At 44.6% G+C, this 25,509-nt stretch overlaps 1 protein-coding gene and 1 pseudogene across 11 annotated transcripts in view, besides 1 other annotated feature; one reads left to right on the top strand and one right to left on the bottom strand.

Moving 5' to 3' along the window:
• TAF1 (TATA-box binding protein associated factor 1) overlaps nucleotides 1–25,509 on the bottom strand; it is a 164,169-nt gene that overhangs the window by 34,503 nt on the left and 104,157 nt on the right. The window contains exon 1 of one of the 10 annotated variants that reach the window (NR_104396.2): nucleotides 3,026–3,573. The exons of the other annotated variants lie outside the window; for them this stretch is intronic. The gene's annotated coding sequence lies outside the window, so the exon portion shown is untranslated. Of the gene's footprint in view, nucleotides 1–3,025; nucleotides 3,574–25,509 lie in introns of those variants that run through there. 10 annotated transcript variants of the gene reach the window in all.
• Nucleotides 3,105–3,174: a silencer, noted in NCBI's record as "silent region_20898". NCBI's record gives its function as "represses an Ori minimal core promoter by ATAC-STARR-seq in GM12878 lymphoblastoid cells {active_cell/tissue: GM12878}" and the evidence as "EXISTENCE:reporter gene assay evidence [ECO:0000049][PMID:35858748]".
• On the top strand, nucleotides 3,574–4,342 carry INGX (inhibitor of growth family, X-linked (pseudogene); annotated as a pseudogene). Its single transcript, NR_002226.3, has one exon. The product of NR_002226.3 is annotated as an inhibitor of growth family, X-linked (pseudogene) (transcript).

The following is a 25,509-nucleotide window of genomic DNA, read 5'->3' as shown; positions in this document are numbered from 1 at the left end:
TCAGGAAGGAGCCATCTATACCAATTCTAAGTTAATATGGACTGAACGAGGTTTTATTAATAGCAAAGAAAAATTAAAATCCCAAACTTACAAGGTTTTCAACAAAAGTAAAGTTTGCTGAAAGTTAACAGTGTAACATGTATTATCCTAACTTCTAATCTTATGGAAATCAGACCCTATCAGTGCCCCTCAAAGCTCAAGTCCATCAGCACAGGGCCATACAACCAATACTCCTACTTATAGGGTTAGAAATGGCCACTGCTACAGGAACTGGAATAGCTGTACTTCATTATCTACTTCATTATCCTACTACCACACACTCTCAAAGGATTTCTCAGACAGCTTACAAGAAATAACAGAATCTATCCTTACCCTACAATCCCAAATAGACTCTTTGGCAGCAGTGACTCTCCAAAACTGTCGAGGCCTAGACCTCCTCACTGCTGAGAAAGGAGGACTCTGCACCTTCTTAGGGGAAGAGTGTTGTTTTTACACTAACCAGTCAGGGATAGTATGAGATGCTGCCTGGCGTTTACGGGAAAAGGCTTTTGAAATCAGACAATGCCTTTCAAACTCTTATACCAACCTCTGGAATTGGGCGACATGGCTTCTCCCCTTTCTAGGTCCCATGACAGCCATCTTGCTATTACTCTCCTTAGGGGCCTGTATTTTTAACCTCCTTGTCAAATTTGTTTCCTCTAGGATCGAGGCCATCAAGCTACAGATGGTCTTACAAATGGAATCCCAAATGAGTTCAACTAACAACTTCTACCGAGGACCCCTGGACCAACCTGCTGGCCCTTTGGCCTAAAGAGTTCACTAAAGAGGACACTACAACTGCAGGGCCCCTTCTTTGCCTCTATCCAGCAGGAAGTAGTTAGAGCGGTCATTGCCCAATTCCCAACAGCAGTTGGGGTGTCCTGTTTAGAGTGGGGATTGAGAGGTGAAGCCAGCTGGACTCCCTGGGTCGAGTGGGGACTTGGAGAACTTTTCTGTCTAGCTAGAGGATTGTAAATGCACCAATCAGTGCTCTGTGTGTAGCTAAAGGATTGTAAATGCACCAATCAGCACTGTGTAAAATGGACCAATCAGCACTCTGTAAAATGGACCAATCAGCAGGACGTGGGCAGGGCCAAATAAGGGAATAAAAGCTGGCCACCCCAGCCAGCGGCAGTAACCCGCTCAGGTCCCCTTCCATGCAGTGGAAGCTTTGTTCTTTCACTCTTCACAATAAATCTTGCTGCTGCTCACTGTTTGGGCCCATGCCACCTTTAAGAGCTGTAACACTCACCGTGAAAGTCCGCGGCTTCATTCTTGAAGTTGGTGAGACCAAGAACCCACCGGCAGGAACCAACTCTGGACACAATACTATGCAGTCACAAAAACAATGAGTAGCTCTATATAGTAGACTCACTTGGAAAGATATACTTCCAGGATATACCCTTTCAGGGATGTCCAATCTTTTGGCTTCCCTGGGCCACACTGGAAGAAGAATTGTCTTGGGCCACACATAAAATACACTGACAGTAGCTGATGAGCTAGCTATATTTTTTTAAATTGCCAAAAAAACTATTTATTTATTTATTTATTTATTTATTTTGAGACAGAGTCTCACTCTGTTGCCCAGGCTGGAGTGCAGTGGCACAATCTCGGCTCACTGCAACCTCTGCCTCCCAGGTTCAAGCGATTCTTCTGCCTCAGCCTTCCAAGTAGCTAGGACTACAGGTGTGTGCCACCACGCCCGGCTAATTTTTTGTATTTTAGTAGAGATGGGGTTTCACCATGTTTGCCAGGCTGGTCTCGATCTCCTAACCTCAGGTGATCTGCCTGCCTTGGCCTCCCAAAGTGCTGGGATTGCAGGCATGAGCCACGACGCTGGGCCCAAAAATCTCATAATGTTTTAAGAAAGTTTACAAATTTGTGTTGAGACGCATTCAAAGCAGTCCTGTACCGCCTGAGGCCCACGGTCTGCGGATTGGACAAGCTTGCCTCAAGTGGAAGAAGCAAGGTGCAAAACGGTGGGCATATAATGCTAAAATTTGTTTGTTTTGAGACAGGGTCTTGCTTTGTCACCCAGGCTGGAGTGCAGTGGCACAATTGTAGCTTACTGAGGCCTCAAATTCCTGGGCTCTCAAATAGCTGGGACTACAGGGGAGAATCACCAAGCCTAACTAATGTTTAAAATTTTTTGCAGAGATGGGGGTGGAGGTGGAGGTCTCCCTGTGTTGCCCAGGCTGGTCTCCAGCTCCTAGTTTCCAGAGATCCTCCCACCTCTGCCTCCTAAAGTGTTAGGATTACAGGCATGAGCCACTGCTCCCGGTGGAGGTGCTGTTTTTCTTAACTATGAATCTGGAGTATGTCACAGAATTTACCAAACTTTCTGACCTCTAGTGCCTTACACAGGGTTGAAAAGCACTTCCACAAGTAACCAGCAAAGCGCTTCTACAGAACAACGCCTGGGCAAAAGCTGAAAACCTTGCGACATTTCTACTTCTTCCAACTGAAAGCAGAGATTCTGGAAGAGCAGGAAAGATACAACAGCAGTGAATGCAGAGCTATTTGACAGTGTCTGAGAAAACAATCTGGCCTTTTGGGCCATGACTTAAGACATTGTAACAAGGTTTTAGCTACAGAGAGCACATTTCATAAGGGCTAGAGCGTGTTTGCTTGGAGACATGCCAATCAGATCACGTGAGTTTTAAGCAGAAAACAAAGTAAGAGTTAGCTCACGCCTGTAATCCTAGCACTTTGGAAGTCCGAGGCGGGCGGATCACGAGGTCAGGAGTTCGAGACCAGCCTGGCCAATATAGTGAAACCCTGTCTCTACTAAAAATACAAAAAATTAGCCGGGCATGGCGCGCCTATTGTCCCAGCTATTTGGGAGGCTGAGGCAGGAGAATCGCTTGAACCCGGGAGGCGGAGGTTGTGGTGAGCCAAGATCGCGCCACTGCACTCCAGCCTAGGCTACAGAGTGAGACTCTGTCAAAAAAAAAAAAAAAGTTAAAATGAAAGTAAAAATACTTGCAGTGGAGCACAGTGAGAAGGGCATTGCGCTTCCAGCCGCGGAGCAATGCCGGAGGCCGGGCCGAGGCTAGGGCTGGGGGCTGGGGGCCTGGGCTGCAGCTTGGGCGGCCCGCCCCGCCCCGGCGTCCCGCGACACCGGCTCGCAGACCGTCACATGCCACACCTCTGCAGACCGGAGGGTGCGGCCGCACATGGCTGGGGAGGCGTGAGTTAGCCGGGCTTGCGGCACGGAGACTTTCCTGGAGGAGACCCTGAAGGACCTGGACAAGTGCTATGAGAAGGTCCGCCGCGACACGGACTGCGCGCAGAAGCCGCGGGTGCCACCCTGCGCCCAGCGGGCCCTGATCCGCAGCTAGGAGCCGGGCGATCAGAAGATCCAGATCAAGAGCCAGAGGGTGGAGCTGGTGGAGAGCCTCACGCGGCAGGTAGACAGCCACGTGGAGCCGTTCCACCCGCAGCAGGAGCAGGGCGACGCAGCGCGACGGCGGCAAGGTCGGCCCGGACAGGCCCAGGGGCGAGGCGGACGCGCAGGCGGAGAAGTCCAACAGCAAAGCGTTCTCGGCGGCAGCGCAACAACTAGAACCGTGAGAACGCGTCCAGCAACCGCGACCACGACGACGTCACCTCGGGCACGCCCAAGGAGAAGAAAGCCCAGACCTCTAAGAAGAAGCAGAGCTCCATGGCCAAGGCGTAGCGGCAGGCGTCCCCCGCAGACCTCCCCATCGACCCCAGCGAGCCCTCCTACTGGGAGATGATCCGCTGCGACAACGAATGCCCCATCGAGTGGTTCCGCTTCTCGTGTGTGAGTCTCAACCATAAACCAAAGCGCAAGTGGTACTGTTCCAGATGCCGGGGAAAGAACGATGGGCAAAGCCCTTGAGAAGTCCAGAAAAAAAACAGGGCTTATAACAGGTAGTTTGGGGACATGCGTCTAATAGTGAGGAGAACAAAATAAGCCAGTGTGTTGATTACATTGCCACCTTTGCTGAGGTGCAGGAAGTGTAAAATGTATATTTTTAAAGAATGTTGTTAGAGGCCGGGCGCGGTGGCTCACGCCTGTAATCCCAGCACTTTGGGAGGCCGAGGCGGTCGGATCACGAGGTCAGGAGATCGAGACCATCCTGGCTAACACGGTGAAACCCCGTCTCTACTAAAAATTCAAAAAAAAAATTAGCTGGGCGTGGTGGCGGGCGCCTGTAGTCCCAGCTATTCGGGAGGCTGAGGCAGGAGAATGGCATGAACCTGGGAGGTGGAGCTTGCAGTGAGCCAAGGTCGCGCCACTGCACTCCAGCCTGGGCGACAGAGCGAGACTCCATCTCAAAAAAAAAAAAAAAAAAAGAATGTTAGAAAAGGAGCCATTCCTTTTATAGGGATGGGAGTGATTCTCTTTGCCTTTTGTTTTCGTTGGCAGACATGTGTAACAACAAAATGGTCTGTTATCAACATTTTAGAAACTACAAATATAGGTTTGAATTAAACAGTTTAAAAAGAATGCCGTTAAAGAAATAATGACAATACAGGAGGTGCTGCCACCTTCACAAGATTGGAAAAGAGGTCAGAACTAATGTCAGAGCCCCAGATGCTTCCCTTTCCTCCACACACACCTGAACCTGTTTTTCCCACTGTTTGCTTTTCTTGGAGCCCTTTCCACTATAACCACTGGAACCCCTGCTCAGTGAGAAACAAACTCCCGTACATCCTGGCTTTCTTCACTGAACTTTCCCTTCTACCTCCTGCCTTAACTGGATTGGGCTCTCTCCCGAGGCTCCCGCTTCCCCACAGCCTGCTCCAGGCTTCTTCTGTCGCATTCTGCCTATGAAAAAGATGGGCTGGCTGATCGGAGTGCAGTGGTGTTTACAACTAATTGATCACAACCAGCTACAGATTTCTTTGTTCCTTCTCCACTCTCACTGCTTCACTTGACTAATCTAAAAAAAAAAAAAAAAAAAAAAAAACAACAACAACAACAACAACAACAAAAAAACCCAGCTTGGTGGCTCACGCCTATAATCCCAGTCCTTTGGGAGGCCGAGGCAGGCAGATCACTTGAGTTCAGGGGATCGAGACCAGCCTGGCGAACATGGCGAAACCCCATCTCTACTAAAAATACAAAAATGGTGGCACATGCCTGTATTCCCAGCTACTCGGCAGGCTGAGGCAGGAGAATCACTTGAACCCGGGAGGCAGAGGTTGCAGTGAACTGAGATCGTGCCACTGCATTCCAGCCTGGTGAAAGAGTGAGACTCTGTCTCAAAAAAAAAAAAAAAGAGAAAATGAAGTTCGTTGTAGATGCATGGATTTGTTTCTGGGTTCTCTATTCTGTTCCATTGGTCTATGTGTCTGTTTTTAATGCCAGTACTATGTAGTTTTGGTTACCATAGCTTTGTAGTATAATTTGTCAATTTCTTGACTTTCTCAACTGCCTTTAAGAAAATATTCAATTCCTTGGGAGGCTGAAGCGGGAGAATGGCATGAACCCGGGAGGCGGAGCTTGCAGTGAGCCGAGATCGCGCCACTGCACTCCAGCCTGGGCGACAGAGAGAGACTCCGTCTCAAAAAAAAAAAAATCCAATTCCTTAGTATAACAGACAGGATCCTTCAAATATAGTCACCTGTCTATTTCATTTCCTGACATGATTTCTGTCTTTGTTTTGTGCTGCTATAACGGAATACCTGAAATTGGGTAATTTTTAAAGAACAGGAATTTGTATTCTTACAGTTCTGAAGGCTGGGAAGTCCAAGATCAAGGAGCCAGCATGTTAGTTTGTTGGTGAGGGCTGCCTCCTCTGAAGGAAAATAATTCTGTGTCCTCACAAGACAGAGGTGGCAGGGCAAGCAAACTGAATGCTCTGTGAAGCCTCTTTTTTTCCCATCCAGAAACTTTTATGGGCAAATTTTTATTTATTTATTTATTTTTGGAACAAGTAGGAGGGGAAAGTGGAGGGGGTGGAGGAGGAGGGAAAAGAGTTTTTAAAAAGCCTCTTTTCTCCTTTCTGAAGGCCTTAATCCTGTTCATGAGGGAGAGGCCTTCATGGCCTAATCACCTCTTAAAAGACCCATCTCTTGATATTATCATAAAGGCAACAACTGAATTTTAGAAGGGACGCATTCAAACCATAGCAGCTTCTTACGTACTTTATATTCCAGCTATAAGAAATATTTTGTAATTCTCTGATGCTACTGCTAATTTATTCCTCCAGGCCCTTTGCCATCCTCATCCCTCTGTCTGTAATACCAGCTCTGTTCCCACTTAGTTTGCCTGTTGAGCATCCCCATGAATGACTCACTTAACAATTTAGGCTTACATTTTTTTTTTTTTTTTGAAACGGAGTTTCATTCTTGTTGCCCAGTCTGGAGTGCAATGGTGTGATCTCAGCTCACCGCAACCTCCTCCTCCTTGGTTCAAGCGACTCTCCTGCCTCACCCTCCCAAGTAGCTGGGATTACAGGCATGTGCCACCATGCCCAGCTAATTTTGTATTTTCAGTAGAGACGGGGTTTCTCCATGTTGGTCAGGCTGGTCTCGAACTCTCAGTCTCGGGTGATCCGCCTGCCTCGGTCTCCCAAAGTGCCAGGATTACAGGCATGAGCCACCGCGCCCAGCCTAGCCTTACATTTCTTATTCTGCCTTCACTCCAGGAACTTTATTTTCTATTCCATTTCAGCCCCCTCTCTCAGGGCCACACTCTCACTGACCAGAAAAACCTGACCTCTGACATCTTAAACCCCAGTATCACAAAGAGGCAGAGGGACTTCTACATTTGGCCAAGATTGAGTAATTCACCCTACTGCCTAAAACAATAGCAACAAAAGGGACAGACTATATAAAACAATGGTTTCCAGACACTGGACATCAGGCGGCATATGATAGTGACAAAAGAAAGGAGAGAAACAAACTAGATGAATTTTTTGTGTGTGTTTTTTTTTTTTTTTCAGACAGAGTCTTGCTCTGTTGCTCAGGCTGGAGTGCAGTGGTGCGATCTCGGCTCACTGCAACCTCCATCTCCCAGGTTCAAGCGATTCTCCTGCCTCAGCCTCCTGAGTAGCTAGGATCACAGGCGTGCACAACCATGCCTGGCTAATTTTTGTATTTTTAGTAGAGATAGGGTTTCACCATGTTGGCCAGGCTGGTCTCGAACTCCTGACCTCAGGTGATCCACCTGCCTCGGCCTCCCAAAGTGCTGGGATTACAGGTGTGAGCCACCGTGTCCAGCACAAGATGAGTCGTATGAGTGCCCTAGCATACTGCCTGGAGAAAGTTTCTAGGCCACAGTGCAGAGAGGAGGAACATAGGCAGAGCCTAGCAGTCTCTCTGAGCTAAGAAGAAAGACTTGGAAGACTAGGAGGCCAAGGTAGCTAAAGTTCACTGGACAGAAAACTGGAGAAAAGATAGCTGCACAGAGAGAAAGCTCTGGAGATCTGCAGAGGATGTCTCTTAAGTCTTCAGCTGGGGATTGGTCAGTGCATGCCCACAAAGAAACTACCTACCAGCACTTTGGGAGGCTGAGGTGGGTGGATCATGAGGTCAGGAGTTCGAGACCAGCCTGGCCAATATGGTGAAACCCCATCTCTACTAAAAAATACAAAAATGATCTGGGTGTGGTGGCGCACAACTGTAGTCCCAGCTACTCGGGAGGCCAAGGCAGGAGAATCGCTTGAACCCGGGAGGTGGAGGTTGCAGTGAGCCGAGATCATGCCACTGCACTCCACCCTGGGCAAAAGACTGAGACTCCGTCTCAAAAAAAAAAAAAAAAAAAAAAGAAACCACCTAAAGCTAAGGGAAGAACCACCTGAAGGGATTAGAGAGAAAAATACTCAAAGATCACACAGGGACCAGAATAGTTTGTGTTCCCACCAGCCTGATTGTGGGTGGGAAAACTTCATAAAACACTGGGTAGAATACTTCCCCAGTAGAGCAACAAATCTAGTCCTAGATTAAAAGGCTACTTTTTGATCCTGGCTTAAAAATCAACTAAACAAACAAGAGCTTAAAAGCAAGCATTTAAAAAGGTCAAACTGTTTCCAAATAACTTAACTTCCCAGAACAAAGCTTACACATATTTACAGTAGTACAGAAATACCCAGCACCTAACAAGGTAAAATTTTTAATGTCTGGCCTCCAATAGAAAATTAACAGGCAAGCAAAGAAGCAGGAAAATGTAATCCACCATGAGGAGAAAAATCAATAGGAACTGACCAGAGATGACATAGGTGATAAAGTTAATAGACAAGGATAATAAATGGTTATTATAACCACATTCCAGATGGTGGAGGAAAAATTGAGCATGTTAAGTAGAGATACAGGAGATATTTAAAAAGATAAACTTCTAGAGATAAAAAAGGCAATGTCTAAGTTTTTAAAAAATATTTTAGATGAGGCCAGGTGCGGTGGCTCACGCCTGTAATTCCAGCACTTTGGGAGGCCAAGGCAGTTGGATCACCAGAGGTCAGGAGTTTCAGACCAGCCTGGCCAAGATGGTGAAACTGGTCTCTACTAAAAATACAAAAATTAGCTGGGTGTGGTGGTGGGCACCTGTAATCCCAGCTACTCGGGAGGCCAAGGCAGGAGAATCGTTTGAACCCAGTAGGCAGAGCTTGCAGTGAGCCAAGGTCGCGCCACTGCACTCCAGCCTAGGTGACAAGAGCGAAACTCCGTCTCAAAAAAAAAAAAAAAAAAAAAAATACATACATTAGATGGGACTAACAGCAAATTAGGTACTACAGAAAAAAAGATTAGTGAACTTGAAGGCATAATAATAGAAACTATTGGAATGAAGCATAGAGAAAAAAAGACGGAAAGAAAGAACAGATCATCAATGAGCTGGGGGGCAATCCCAAGCAGCCTTCTATACATGTGATGGGAGTCCCTGAAGGAAGAGGGGTGGATAAAAAAAAAAAAGGCTGAAATTTTTCCAAATGTGATGAATACCATAAACACAGGTCCAAGAATCACAACATACTCCAAGTACAGTAATTATGAAGAAAATTATACCACCAAGAAGAGCAAACTAAACCCAAGAAGAAAATAATAAAGATTAGAGAGGAGATAAACAAAAATAGAAAGTAGACTAATAATACAGAGATTCCAAGATCAACAAAATTGACAGAACTTTAACTAGATTGACTAAGAAAAAAAGGCTCAAATTACTAAAATCAGAAATGAAAGAGGAAACATTACTACCAACGTTACAGAAATAAGAAGGATTATAAGAGACTATAATTATTGGATAACCTAGATAAAATGACCAAATTCCTAGAAACACAAACTACCAAAACCGAGTCAAGAAAAATAGGAAATCTGACTAGACTTACAGCAAGTAAAGAGACTGAACCAGTAATCAAAAATTTCCAGCCAAGCTTGATGGCTCACGCCGGTAATCCCAGCACTTTGGAAGGCTAAGGCAGGAGGGTCTCTTGAGAGACCTGCCTGGGAAACATGGTGAGACCCCTGTCTCTACAGAAAAAAAAAAAAAAAAAGATAGCCAGGCGTGGTGGTGTGCACCTGTAGTCCCAGCTACTGGGACTGGGGTGGGAGGATTGCTTGAGCCCAGGAGTTGGTGCTGCAGTGAGCTATGACCAGGCCACTGCACCCCAGCGTGGGTGACAGAGCAAGATCCTGTGTCTAAAACAAATTAAAAAAAATAATTTTAGGCAGAGCACAGTGGCTCATGCCTATAATCCCAGCACTTTGGGAGGCCGAGGCAGAAGGGATCTTTTGAGCCCAGGAGTTCCAGGCCAGCCTGGGCAACATAGAAACATAGATTTCGCGCCTCTACAGAAAATCAAAAAATTAGCGGGATGCCTGTAGTTTCAGCCACTCAGCAGGCTGAGGTGGGAGAATCACCTGAGCCCGAAAGGTCAAAGCTGCAGCGAGCCATGATCACGCCACCCAGCTACACGAGAGGCTGAGGCACGAGAATCGCTTGAACCCAGGAGGTGGAGGGTGCAGTGAGCAGAGATTACACGACTGCACTCCAGCCTGGGTGACAACGCAAGATTCTGTCTCAAAAATAAATAAATAAATAAATAATAAATAAATAAAAAGAAAAAACGTAGGGGGAAATATTAATGACCTTGGATTTGGCAATGAGTTCTTGGATATGACTCAAAAGTACAGGTAACAAAAGAAAACTAAGTCAATTGAACTTCATCAAAATTAAAAATTTTGTGCATTAAACAACAATAGCAACAGAGTAAAAAGGCAACCTATAGGATTGAAGAAATATTTGCAAATCATATATCTGATAAGGCATTAATATCCAGAATATATAAATAATTCCTACAACTCGACAACAACAACAAACAACCAAATCTAAAAATGAACAAAGGATTTGAACAGACACTTCTCCAAAGAGAATATACAAATGACCAATAAGCACATGAAAAGATGCTCAACATCACTAGTCATGAGAAAAATGCAAATCTAAACCACAATGAGATGCCACTTCACACTCATTAGGAAGGCTATTATAAAACATACGCCTGCACGTGCACACATAGAAAGCAGCAAGTGTTGGTGGGATTGTGAGGAAATCAGAGCCCTTATACATTGCTGGTGGGAGTGGAAAATAATGCAGTCACTGTGGAAGACAGCTTGGCAGCTCCTCAAAAAGTCAAACATAGAATTACAATATGACTCCGTAATTCCACGCCTAGGTATATATTCAAATGAATTGAAAACAGGGACCAATAATGTACTATAGCTATGCAAGATGTTACCATTTGGGGAAGCTCGGTGAAAAGTATTGGGATCTCCATACTACTTATTTACATTTGTCTGTGAATTTACAGTTATTTCAAAATCAAAAGTTAAACCAAAACCATGCATTGACCTCACTGTTTCCATGGATCAGGAATCCAGGCACTGCTTAGATAGTCTTACAGTTCAGGGTTTCTCACAAGGTTGCAGTCAAAGTGTTGGCCAGGACTGAATTCATGTCAAGGTTCAACTGGAGCAAGATCTACTTCCACATTCACTTTGTGGTTGTTAGCAGGGTATAAAGTACCTTGTGGACTGTTGGACTGAGGGTCTCAGTTCCTTGACATGTTGGCTTCTCCACAGGGGAGCTCACAACAACACAGCAGCTGGTTTCATCAGGGTATTGAAGTTCATCACCTTGAAGCAAGCAAAAGAAAGCAAGAGCATACCAGCAAGACAGAAGTCATGGTCTTTTGTAACCTAGTCTTGCAAGTAATAGCTCCATCACCTTTACTGTATTCCATTTGTTATATCATCGGGCCCAGCCCACACACAAGAGGAGGGACTTATACAAAAGCATAAATACCAGGAGTTGGGGATCACTGGGGACTAGCAGTCTACCTCAGTAGCCAAATAAAACACTTAAAGGATGAATAATAAGTTAATTTTGGCCAGGCGCGGTGGCTCACACCTGTAATCCCAGCACTTTGGAAAGCCAAGGCAGGCGGATCACCTGAGGTCAGGAGTTCGAGACCAGCCTGGCCAATATGGTGAAACCTGTCTCTACTGAAAATACAAAAATTATCTGGGTGTGGTGGCAGGCACTTGTAATCTCAGTTACTTGGGAGGCTGAGGCAGGAGAATCACTTGAACCCGGGAGTCGGAGGCTGCAGTGAGCTGAGATCACACCACTGCACTCCAGCTTGGGTGACAGAGCAAGACCCCGTCTCAAAAAAAAAAAAAAGTAATTTGACCCACCAGATACAATTAAATGCATAGTAATTAATATTATAGTGGTCCAGAAAGAAAAAGATTAAGTGGAACTCAATAGAGTCCAGGAGACTCAAACATTGTTAAAGCAAAAAATTGGAAAATTAAATGTCTATCCATAGGATGTTTTAAAAGAATGAGGGCTGGATGTGCTGGCTCACGCCTATAATCCCAGCACTTTGGGAGGCTGAGGCCAAAGGATCACTTGATGCCAGGAGATTGAGACTGGCCTCAGCAACATAGTGAGACCTCATTTCTACAAAAAATAAAAGAAAAAAGAAAAAGAAAAGAATGAGGCAAACTGGGGAAACCTGAATAAAGATTGGTGAATCATATCAATGTCAATATCCTGGTTGTGATATTTGCAAAATGTTGCCATTGGGAGAAACTAGGCAAAGTGTACAAGGAATCTCTATTATTTCTTATAAATATCTCAATAAAATTTTCAATTAAAAAATGGGTTCCAAGTCACTGCAGAAGAAAAAAAATAATGAGGGATGTGTGTGTATATATATATATATATATATATAGAGAGAGAGAGAGAGAGAGAGAGAGAGAGAGAGAGAGAGATGTTCACAATATATTATGTGTAAAAAGCAAGTTGGAAAATACAGTAGTCCCCTTTATCCGAGGTTTCCCTTATCCACCTCTAAGTGTCCAAGTGAAAGGAAGAGCCACACAGCTCTTTATTTATGTATTTATTTATTTGTTTGTTTGTTTGTTTGAGACAGAGTCTCACTCTGTTACCCAGGCTGGAGTGCAGTGGCACAATCACGGCTCACTGCAGCCTCAACCTCCTGCTCTCAGGGGATCCTCCCACCTCCGCCTCCTGAGTAGCTGGGACCACCACGCCCAGTTAATTTTTTTCAAAGGGAAAAAAAAAAAAAGATGTTATGGAAATAGCAAGAGAACTGGAATTAGAAGTGAATCCTGAAGATGTGGCTGAATTGCTATAATCTCATAGTAAAATTTGAATGGATGAGTAGTTGCTTCTTATGGATGAGCAAAGAAAAGTGGTTTCTTGGCCAGGCGTGGTGGCTCACACCTGTAGTCCCAGCACTTTGGGAGGCTGAGGCAGGAAGATCACTTGAGCCCAGGAGTTCAAGATCACCCTGGGCAACACAGTGAGACCCCATCTCTACAAAAAAAAAAAAAAAAAGAAAAGAAAAAAAAAAAAGCCAGTCATGGTGGCACATGTTTATAGTCCCAGCTGCTAGAGAGGCTGAGTTGGGAGAATCACTTGAGCCCAGGTGGCATGAGCCATGATCATGACACTGCACTCCAGCCTGGGTGACAGAGCGAGACCCTGTCTCAAAAGAGGAAAAAAAAGTGCTTCTTGAGGTGAAATCTACTCCTGGTGAAGATGCTATGAGCAATATGGAAATGACAACAAGCGTTTAAAATATTACATAAACCTAGTTGATAACACACTGGCAGAGCTGGCGAGGATTGACTCCCATTTTGAAAGAAGTTCTACTGTGGGTAAAATGCTGTCAAACAGCATCACATGCTACAGAGAAATCCTTTGTGAAAGGAAGAGTGAATTGATGCAGCAAATTTCACTTCTGTCTTCTTTTTAAATATTGCCACAGCCACCCCAACCTTCAGCAACCACCACCCTGATCAGTCATCAGCCATCAATATCAAGCCAAGACCCTCCACCAGCAAAAATATTACCACTCACTGAAGGCTCAGATGATCATTAGCATTTTTTTAGCGATAAAGTATTTTTAGACGTGCTATTGCACATTTAATAGACTACAATATAGTGTAAACATAACTTATATGCACTGGGAAACAAAAAAATCCCTGTGACTCACTTTATTGTGATATGTACTTTATTGCAGTGGTCTGGAACTGAACCCACAATATCTCTGAGGTATGCTTGTGTTGTTAATTGTCCACTCAAGAGCCACCCCCTCCACTTCTTATTTGCCAAAATAACCCATATATGTGCAGGGAAGAAATATGCCCAACCCCAATATGAATCATGCTTTGTCTAAACCTGTTTCCATTTGTGAGATTCACAATTGTACAACCTTAAAGCTGCAAGTTGCCATATTGTCCAGTATTGGCCATGAGATAAAGGGAAGTGTGTTGATAGTGGGAGAAAGCTTGTGCTTTCATGATATAAGGGACAGCCATAGTGCCACTACTTTCTCCAGTTTCCTTCCCCAAACATGAATGTGATTACTAGAACTAAAGCAGCCATCCTGTGATCATAAGGCAACAAGCACGAAGGCCGAAAGCCAACCTGCTAAGGAGGGTTAAGCAGACAGATGGAGATTGAATTCTTGATGCCATTGCTAAGCCTTTGAACCAAAGCCAACAACTACCTATCTCTGGACTTCTTATATGAGAAAAACAAATACCTACTTATTTAAGTCAAGTTTTTTGTTACTTATAACCACACAAATGGCATCATGTCATTTTCCTACTTAAAACCCATCAATAGGCCGGGCGCAGTGGCTCATGCCTGTAATCCCAGCACTTTGGGAGGCCGAGGCAGGCGGATCATGGGGTCAGGAGATCGAGACCATCCTGGCTAACACGGTGAGACCCCGCCTCTACTAAAAATACAAAAAATTAGCCGGGCATGGTGGCATGCACCTGTATTCCCAGCTACTCAGGAGGCTGAGGCAGGAGAATCACTTGAACCTGGGAGGCGGAGGTTGCAGTGAGCCGAGATCGTGCCACTGCACTCCAGCCTGGGCAACAGAGCGAGACTCTGTCTCAAAAAACAAAAACGAAAACAAAAAACATCAATTTCAGGGTAGAGCCCATTCCTCACGGAATGACATATAGTTTCCATCAAGATTTGACTCTGGTCTCCTTTCCAGCTGCATCTTCTACCATTATCTCAGATATTCCAAATCAAAGATCCATTATGAAATATATTCTTAAGCATCCATACCTATAGATATGTGGTTTTCTGTGGAATGCCTTCATGATTTGTACAATTAAATAACTCTTTTTATCTGTCAAATATCAGTCCAATGGTTACTTTTTGTGTGTGTATGTGTGTGTGTGAGAGATGGAGTTTCACTCTTGTTGCCCAGGCTGGAGTGCAATGGCACGATCTCGGCTCACTGCAACCTCCCCCTCCCGGGTTCAAGTGATTCTCCTGCCTCAGCCTCCCGAGTAGCTGGGATCACAGGCATGCACCACCACGTCTGGCTACTTTTTGTATTTTTAGTAGAGATGGGGTTTCGCCATGTTGGCCAGGCTGGTCTTGAACTCCTGACCTCAGGTGATCCGCCCGCCTCGGCCTCCCAAAATGCTGGGATTACAGGCGTGAGCCACCGCGCCCAGCCCATCCTGTCCCTTCTCTAAACACTTTTCACCATCTCCATTACTATCAACCTCAACCAAGCCACCATCATCTCCTGCCTAGATTACTACAATAGCCTCCTAAGTACCCCTTGCATGTGTTTTCTCTTTGCCTGGAATGATCTTCCCCCAGATAGCCACATAATTTATTCCTTCACTTCATTAATTTCTCTGTTCAGATGTCACCTTCTCTGAAAGGCCTTTCCTGATCACCTTATCTAAAATAGCAACTCTCTCCTCCTTAACACATACACATTCTCTTTATACCATTATATTACTTTAGTGTTCTTTATAGTACTTATCACCACCTCACAGATATTTATTGCCTCTCTCCACCTCCATGAAAGGACTTTTGTTCAATGCTGTATTTCCAGCACTTAGATTAATCTTGGTACGTAGTATTCACTTAATAAATATTTATTGAATGAATATATGAATTATTTCTGGCTTTTAGAAGAATGGGTAACTACATAATTGAATAAATATATCTCTGTACCCCAAGGCCCAGCATACTACCGGGTACATAGTGGGAATTCAATAAATGTTTGTTGAATGAATCAAGGCTGTAAACATGCTCATAAGTCTTTCTCTTTTTTTAAGAGACAGGATCCATGGTGGGGTGCAGTGGTGCGATCATAGCCCACTGCAACCTCAAACTCCTGGGCTCAAGGGATCCTCTTGCCTCAGCCTCCCGAGTAGCTGGGACTACAGGTATATGCCACCATGTCTGGCTAGTTTTGTTTTTGGTTTTGTTTTTTGAGACAGTCTCAGTCTGTTGCCCAGGCTGGAGTGCAGTGATACAGTCATGGTTCACTGCAGCCTCAAACTCCTGGGCTCAAGTGATCCTCCCACATCAGCCTCCCAAGTAGCTAGGACTGCAGGTGCACACCACCATGCCCAGATAATTTTTTGATTTTTCACAGAGACATGGTCTCGCTATGTTGCCCAGGCTGGTCTAAAATTCCTGGGCTCAAGAGATCCTCCCACCTGGGCCTCCCAAAGTGCTGGGATTACAGGCATGAGCCACCACAGCCGGCCTCATAGGTCTTTTAAAAATTTTCTGGTTATCCCATTTCTCCCTTTAGCTATTACTATCATTCTCCTTCCCCTGATAGCCTAGCTGCTTTCTCACCTTCCAGTCACTTTTTTTTCAGCTTAAAAACTTTTATGAAATATATCACAAATACAAAAGTATATCTGACATTTATGGTAGATAAAAATCTCATATATAATTTAAAGAATAAGAAAATGAACATCTAAGTGCCCACCAATCAGCTTACAAACCAGAACATTACCAGAGCCTCTGAAGCTCTCTGGATACCCTTCTGAATTGCATTCCTTTCCTTCCCTGCAAGATATAACTGCTATTAGGAATTGTACTTTTTTTTCTTTTTGTTTATTTATTTTTTGAGACAGAGTCTCACTCCATCACCCAGACTGGAGTGGAGTGGCGTGATCTCAGTTCACTGCAACCTCCACCTCCCGGGTTCAAGAGATTCTCCTGTCTCAGCCTCCCAAGTAGCTAGGACTGCAGGCATGCGCCACCACGCCCGGCTAATTTTTGTATTTTTAGTAGCAATTGGGCTTTGCCATATTGCCCAGGCTGATCTTGAACTCCTGGCCTCAAGTGATCCTCCTGCCTTGGCCTTCCAAAGTGCTGGGATTACAGGCATGAGCCATCATGTCTGGCCAGTAATTATACTTTTCTTTATGGCTTTCTCACCCGTGTTTTTGAACCTTATATACATAGAATCATATCATATGAATTTTTCTGAACTTTCCTTCCACATTATGTTCGTGGGACTCATCTATGTTGATATTTGTATCTGTAGGTATTTTTACCAATGTATAGTTTTCCCTTTTATAATAATACCATAATTTACTAAACCATTCTCTTATTGAAGAACATTTGAGCTATTTTCAACTTTTTGCTATAAAGATCAGTGCAGCTATTAACACTCTTGAATTCTTGTACATGTCTTCTGGTACGGTGGTGCAAGAATTTTTCTAGCATATATACCTAGGGGTAGAATTGCTGATTAAGTCAGCTAGGTGCAGTGGCTCACGCCTGTAATCCCAGCACTTTGGGAGGCCAAGGCGGGCGGATCACCTGAGGTCAGGAGTTCAAGACCAGCCTGGCCAACATTTTCACGTTTATTGGCTATTCCTGTTTTCTCTTCTGTGAAATGCTGCTTTATGTTTTTTGGTCAGTTTTCATTGGATGGCTTGTCTTTTTCTTACCGATATATTGTCTTACATATTTTTTTTCAGAATTTAAAAAGAATTTTTGCTAAAGATAGACCTCCCTATGTTACCCAGTCTGGTCTCAAACTCGTGGACTCAAGCAATCCTCCCATCTCTGCCTGTCAAAGTTCTGGGATGCTGAGATTACAGGTGTGAGCCATCGCACTTGGCCAGGATTCTCTTGTTTTTGTTTGTTTGTTTGTTTGTTTGTTTGAGACAAGGTCTTGCTCTATCACCTAGGCTGGAGGAGTGCAGTGGTATGATCATAGCTCACTGCAGCCTCGAACTCCTGGGCTCAAGTGATCCTCCTACCTCGGCCCCCAAAGCATTGAGATTACAGGCATGAGCCACCGCAGTTGGCCAGGATAGTTATTCTTTTTTTGAGAAGGGGGTTCACTCTTGTTGCCCAGGCTGGAGTGCAGTGGCGTGATCTTGGCTCACTGCAACCTCCACCTCCCGAATTCAAGCAATTCTCCTGCCTCAGCCTCCCAAGTAGCTGGGATTACAGGCACCCACCACCACGCCCAGCTAATTTTTTTGTATTTTTTGTAGAGATAGGGTTTCACCATGTTGGCTGGGCTAGTCTCGAACTCCTGACCTCAGGTGATCTGCCGGCCTCAGCCACCATGCCTGGCCCAGGATAGTTATTCTTTATCAGTTATATGAATTGGAAACATCTTCTGCCAGCCCATCACCTTTTAAAATGATGTCTTATGATGAACAAAAGTTTATTTATTTATTTAGAAACAGAGTCTTGCTCTATCACCCAGGCTGGAGGGCAATGGTGTGATCTCGGCTCACTGCAGCCTTTGCCTCCTGCGCTCAAGTGAGTCTCCTGCCTTAGCCTCCCGAGAAGCTGGGATTACATGTATGTGCTACCATGCCCAGCTAATTTTTGTATTTTTAGTAGAGATGGGGTTTCACCATGTTGGTCAGGCTGGTCTCGAACTCCTGACCTCGAGTGATCCACCTGCCTCGGCCTCCCAAAGTGCTGGAATTACAGGCGTATGCCACCGTGCCCGGCTTCAAAAGTTTATATTTTTTAACACAGTTAAATGCATCCAAATTTTATTTTATGATTTGCCCTTTATGTTATTGTCTAAGAAATCCTTTTGTATACCAAGGCTATAGAAATATTCTTAGTGGGCACAGTGACTCACACCTATGATCCCAGCACTTAGCACTTTGGAAGGCTGAGGTAGGAGCATCGATTGAGGCCAGGAGTTTGGGACTGGCCTAGGCAACATAGTGAGACCCTGTCTCCATAAAAAGTACAAAAATTAGCCAGGCAGGTGTCATGTGCCTGTAGACCCAGCTATTCAGGAGGCTGAGATGGGAGGATCAATTGGGCCCAGAAGGTTGAGGCTGCAGTGAGCTGTGATTGCACTATTGCAATGCAGCCTGGGTGACAGAGTGAGACTCTGTCTCAAAAAAAAAAATTAAAATTAAAAAAATTTTTTAAATTATCTTTTATTTCTCCTAAAAGATCTAAAATTTTGGCCAGGCACAGTGGATCATGCCTGTAATCCCAGCACTTTGGGAGGCTGAGGCAGGTAGATCACTTGAGGTCAGGAGTTCAAGACCAGCCTAGCCAACATGGTGAAATCCCATCTGTACTAAAAATACAAAAATTAGCTAGGCATGGTGGCAGGCACCGGTAATCCCAGCTACTCGGGAGGCTGAGACAGGAGAATCACTTGAACCTGGGAGGTGGAGGTTGTAGGGAGCCAAGATTACACTACTGCACTCCAGCTTGGGCAACAGAGCAAGACTCAGTCTCAAAAAAAAAAAAAGTCTAAAATTTTTGCCTTGCACATCTAAGTCTTTTATCCATCTAGATTGATTTTTGCGTGATGTACGAGGTAGGGATCCCATTTCATTTTTTTCCTATATAGATAACCAACTGATCTAGCACTGTTTATTGAATAATCTGCAATGCTACCTTGATATTTACCAAGTTTCCATATGTGTTCAGGTCCGCTTCTAAGTTCTCTACTCTATTCCATTGCTACATTTGCCTATTCCTGTGCCAATCCCAAACTCTTAACTGTTGCTTTAAAATGTCTTTTTTTTTTTTTGAGGGAGAGAGAAAGAGAGAGAGGGTCTCACTCTGTTGCCCAGGCTGGAGTGCAGTGGCATAATCATGGCTCACTACAACCTCAAACTCCTGGGCTCAAGCAATCCTCCAACCTCAGCCTCTCAAGTAGCTGGGACCACAGGCGTGTACCACCATGCCTGGCTAAATTTTTTTGTATGTGTTTTTTGTAGAGATGGGGTTTCATCATGTTGCCCAGGCTGATCTTGAACCCCTGGACTCAAGCAATCCTCCCACCTCCCCTTCCCAAACTGCTAAAATTACAGGCATGAGCCACCACACCCAGCCTAAAATAAGCCTTGATATCCGAAAGGGCAAGTTCCAGTTCCCTCACCCTGTTTGTCTCCTTAGTTATTTTTGGTCAGTTCCTCTTCCATATAAAGTGTCGAATCATTTTGTCAAATTCTATGAAAAACCTTATTGGAATTTTGATGAAACTGCCTTGGAATTCATAGATCAATTTAAGATATCTTTTCATCTGTGTTAGTCCGTTTGTGTCACTATAAAGAAATATGTGAGGCTAGATAATTTATAAAGAAAAGAGGTTTAATTGGCTCACGGTTCTCTGTAGGCTGTACAGGAAGCGTGGTGCTGGCATCTGCTTCTGAGCAGGTCTCAGGAAGCTTACAATCATGGCAGAAGCTGAAGGGGAGCCAGCATGTTACATGGTGAAAGCGGGAGCAAGACAGAGAAGGGGGAGGTGCCACATTCTTTCAAACAACCAGATCTCAGTGAACTAATAGAGAACTCACTCATCACCAAGGGGATGATGCTAAGCCATTCATGAGGGATCTGCCCCCATGACCCAAACACCTCGCACCATGCCTCACTTCCAACATTGGGGATCACCTTTCAACGTGAGACTTGTAGAGGACAAACATCAAACCATATCAACATGTTTACTATATTGAGTCTTGCTATTCATGAATCTAGACTGTCTCTCCACTTATTTAAGTCTTTAATATCTTTCAGTAAAATTTCATTATTTTCTTCATAAAAGTCTTGAAAATCTTTTATTTAGATTTATCCTTTTTCTTTTTCTTTTTTTTTTTTTTTTGAAACGGAGTCTCGCTCTGTCACCCAGGCTGGAGTGCAGTGGCACGATCTCGGCTCACTGTAACCTCTACCTCCCGGGCTCAAGTGATTCTCCTGCCTCAGCCTCCTGAGTAACTGGGACTACAGGCTCCCGCCACCATGCCTGGCTAATTTTTTGTATTTTTAGTAGAGACGGAGTTTCACCATATTGGCCAGGCTGGTCTCAAACTCCTGATCTCGTGATCCGCCCGCCTCAGCCTCCCAAAGTGCTGGGATTACAGGCGTGAGCCACTGCGCCTGACGCCTCTAGCTTCTTCTACCTTTGCCCTCCCATTGAACATTGGGTCTTTTCCCAAGTTCTCCCCTTGGGCCTGATCTCATCTCCGTAACTTTACATTCTGTCCATTAGCTAATGACATAACAACCCAGCCTTTCTCCTGAGCTCCACTATTTCCAGCTACTTACTGAACATCTCCACTTGGATGTCTCCCAGACATCTCATTCACCAAATTTGACACTTAATTCATTACCATCTTCAACCCAAAACCTATTCCTTAAGTTCTTCCACAATCATGTCCCACCCCCATCCCTGATTTCCTAAGACAAAAACCTGGAAGAATTCCACTCTCCCCTTTGCCTATTACACTCCCAGAAACTCTAGCAATATTTCAGTTCCTCAAATACACCAACCTCTTTTTTGCCTCAGAGCCTTTGATCTTACTATTCCTTCTACCTAGAATGATCTTCCCCTTGCTCAATGCACGGATGGCTCTTTCTCATCTTCAAGTCTCAGCTAAAATGCCACCTCATTATTAGACACCTTCTCTGTCTACCTATCTAAAGTAGGATGGCCTCTACTCCAACCCAGCCACAATTACTTCAATGCATCACCTTCTTTTACTTCTCACAGTTTGTGTTTACTTGTTTATTGTCTGTTCTTTTCCACTGGAATGCAAGCTCCGTGAGAATAGGATTTATATCCATGTTTTCCATGCTATACTGCCAGAGCCTAGAACAGTGTCAGGTGCATGGTGGGTACACTATATTTATTGACTGGATGAATGAATCCTATATGCCTCCTTATTCCTTGTCTGCCAATAATAGTCAGTCACCAAATGCAGTTGAGTCTACCTCCTAAACATCTCCCAAATCTAGCCCATATTCTCCAACCCAGTCATTGCTTTAATTGAAGCACTCATCACCTCTCACCTTATAGTCTTATAACAGGTGCTTTTTCCCCAAGCCTGGCTCCTTCCCTAATACATTCACTACATTAAATATATACATACTCTGAAACCAGGGCTAATCTCTCTGCGACCAAACTAAATCTAATCACATCCTTCACCTGCGTAAAATTCTGCATTGTCAATCACGATCAAGTCCAAACTCCTTACCATGGCCCATAAATCCTTTGAGGACTCTTGCTTGCTTGCTTGCTCTCTCTCTCTCTCTTTCTTTCTTTTTTCAGAGTTTTGCTCTTGTCACCCAGACTGGAGTGCAGTGGTGCAATCTTGGCTCACTACAACCTCTGCTTCCCGGTTTCAAGCGATTCTCATACCTCAGCCTCCTGAGTAGCTGGGATTACAGGCGCCCGACACCACGCCCAGCTAATTTTTGTACTTTTAATAGAGACGTAGTTTCACCATGTTGCCTACACTGGTCTCGAACTCTTGACTTCAGGTGATCACCCTCCTTGGCCTCCCAAACTAGTGGGATTATAGGCATGAGCCACCGCGCCCAGCCAGAGGACCTGTTTCATAATCTGCCCTGCCTTCTTCACCTTTCCCCAACCCTCACCTTCCTTCCCTATATACCCAATGCTCCAATTATACTGGGCTACTCGTAGCTGTCCAAACATTTCATGGTAATTCATGTCTCTGGTTTTGTTGTTGTTGTTGTTATTGTTGTTTTTAAGAGTCGGGGGTATCATGCTCTGTTGCCCAGGCTGGAATGTAGTGGCTCCATGTAGTGGCTCACGGCTCACTGTAGCCTTCTCGAACTCCTAGGGTAAAGTGATTCTCCCACTTCAGCCTCCCAAGTAGCTAGGACTAGAGGTGCACACCACCATGCCCGACTAATTAAAAAATTTAAAAAAAAAATTTTTTTTAAGAGATGTATTCTCACTATGGCAACGTCTCAAACTCACGGCCTTAAGTGATCATCCCGCCTCAGCCTCTAAATCCCCGGTATTACAGGCAAGAGTCACTGCACCTGGCCATGGCTCTGGCTTTTGGATATGGTACTATCTGTCTGGAATATCCTCACCCCACCTCACCTGCCAACCCCCTGTTATCCATTCAGATTCAGCTTAAAGGTCTTTTGTACTGTAAAGCTTTTCCTCACACTCACCCAACCTGCCTATACCCTGCAAAGTTGATTTCCTTTTCCTCCCAAATTTCCCCCTTCCTCTCATGTACTTCTGCTGCATCAGCCACACCCTACTCTCAGGTTTGTGCTTATTGTGTCTATCTGACTACCTGTGACACTTGAGGGCAAATGCTGTATCTCATTCTTCATATTCTCAGTTGTCACATGTACTAAGTGCTGGAATGTTTATTGAACAAGTGAAAATGAGCAACAAAAAAAACCCTTTCTAAATAATATCTAAAGTTGTCAAAGTTGTAGTGAAGTTCGTATGTTTACATAGGACTTCTGGCAAGATAAACAAATACAAACTTTTGAAAAGCAATATGACACTACATATCAAAACTCATAAATATCTTTGTAACAGATAAAAGTGGTCACCTCTGGAGAAAGTGAGCAGAAGAGAAAAGGGAAGGGGTAGGGAAGGGAACTTGCTATTCATTCTGAGCTGTTCTGATTTTTAACTGTGTTTTACATAGATAACTATTTTATTTTATTTTATTTATTTTTTTGAGATGCAGTCTCACTGTCGCCCAGGCTGGAGTGCAATGGCGAGATCTCAGCTCACTGCAACCTCTGCCTCCCAAGTTCAAGCGATTCTTCTACCTCAGCCTCCCCAAGTAGCTGGGATTACAGGTGTGCGCCACCACGCCCGGCTGGTTTTTGTATTTTTAGTAGAGACAGGGTTTCACCATGTTGGCCAGGCTGGTCTCAAACTCCTGACCTCAAGAGATTCGCCCACCTCGGCCTCCCCTGTGCTGGGATTACAGGCGTGAGCCACCACACCTGGCCAATAACAATTTCAAAGAACTGTTTTTGACCTTTGGCTTAATAATTCTATACTCAAGAACTGATGCAAGAGAAGCAATGAGACAGAAGTAAAAGCTATATGGATGAAATGTTCATTGTATTATCGAAAATTCTGAAATCTTAGAACAAACTAATAATAGGGAAATGGCTAAGTAAATAAGGATAAATTAATTCAATAAACTATTAAGCCAAGGTGGGCAGATTGCTTGAGCCCAGGAGTTCGAGACTAGCCTGTGCAAAACCTTTTATCTATTAAAAAAATACAAAAAGTTAGCCAGGCGTGGTGGCACATGCCTGTAGTCCCAGCTACTTGGGAGGCTGAGGTTGAGGCAGGAGAATAGGGTCTGGAGGTAGGGAACCTAAGGCCGTTTCACGCTGACTTCCTAGAACTAAATTGAAAGGAAAACTCTAAGTTTCCATGTCTAAGTAACAAAAGGACCAGAGGCTATGCCCTTTGCAAACCCCCTCCTTTTCTGCCTGGCAGTTGGGAAATTGAAAGTACCTCAACTAATCAGAGGTTTGCATAGGAGTGTAACTTTGTAATGTCACTTCAGCCTCAGATTGGTTGCTGTCCACAACCAATCAGACTGATTGTGGGCCACCACTTCATTTACATGGGGTGAACACCAAGTAGCCAATGGGAAACGTCTAGGGGGTATTTGGACCTGAGAAGATTCTGTGTTGGGGCCCTTGAGCGGCTGCTCAGGCCCGCTTCCCACCCTGTGGAGTGTACTTTCGTTTTCAATAAATCTCTGCTGTGCTGTTGCTTCATTCTTTCCTTGCTTTGTTTGTGCCTTTTGTCCAATTCTTTGTTCCAAATGCCAAGAACCTGGACACCCTCCACCAGTAACAAGGTGGGAGGATCACCTGAGCCCAGGAAGTCAAGGTTTTGGTGAGCCATGATTGCACCACTGCACTCCAGCCTGGGCGACAGAGGGAGACCCTGTCACCAAAAAAAAAAAAAAAAAAAAGTGACCATTTCATAAACTATGTAGAAACATGGAAGACAATTTATGACATAATGTTTAGAAAGCATAATATATATCTGGGTTCCATTCATGTGTGTGTGTGTGTGTGTGTGTGTGTATATATATATATATTTTTTTTTTTTTTTAGACGGAGTCTCGCTCTGTCACCAGGCTGGTGGAGTGCAGTGGTGTGATCTCGGTTCACTGCAACCCCTGCCTCCTGGGTTCAAGTGATTCTCCTGCCTCAGCCTCCCGAGTAGCTGGGACTACAGGCATGTGTCACCATGCCCAGCTAATTTTTTTGTATTTTTAGTAGAGACGGGGTTTCACCATGTTGGCCAGGATGCTCTCAATCTCTTGACATCGTGATTCTCCCGCCTCGGCCTCCCAAAGTGCTAGGATTATAGGTGTGAGCCACAGCACCTGGCCATGTATATATATTTTTGAGACATGGTCTTTCTCTGTTGTCCAGGCCGGACTGCAGTAGCAATGATCACCACTCACTGTAGCTTCGAGCTCCTGGGCTTAAGCAATCCTCCCACCTCAGCCTCCCCAGGAATTGGAACCACAGGTTCATGCCACCTGTTTTTATTTATTCTATTTTATTTATTTTATTTTATTTTATTTTGTGTTATTTTTAGACACTGGTTCTCCCTTTGTTGCCAGGCTGATCTCTAACTCCTGGCCTCAAGTGATCCTCTCACCTCAGCCTCCCAAAGTGCTGGGATTACAGGCATGAGCCACCACACCTGGCCTATACATTCTTTTTTTAAAATATGAATGGAAGGGCTTGGGCACAGTGGCTCAAGCGTGTAATCCAAGCACTTTGGGGGGCTGAGGTGGGCGGATCACTTGAGGTCAGGAGTTCAAGACCAGCCTGGCCAACATGGAGAAACCCCGTCTCTACTAAAAATACAAAAATTGGGCCGGGCTTGGTGGCTCACACCTGTA

Source organism: Homo sapiens, chromosome X (assembly GCF_000001405.40).
Source record: "Homo sapiens chromosome X, GRCh38.p14 Primary Assembly".
NCBI lineage: Eukaryota > Metazoa > Chordata > Mammalia > Primates > Hominidae > Homo > Homo sapiens.
The sequence above is the reverse complement of the archived record's forward strand: the minus strand, read 5'-3'. Positions and strand labels throughout refer to the sequence as shown.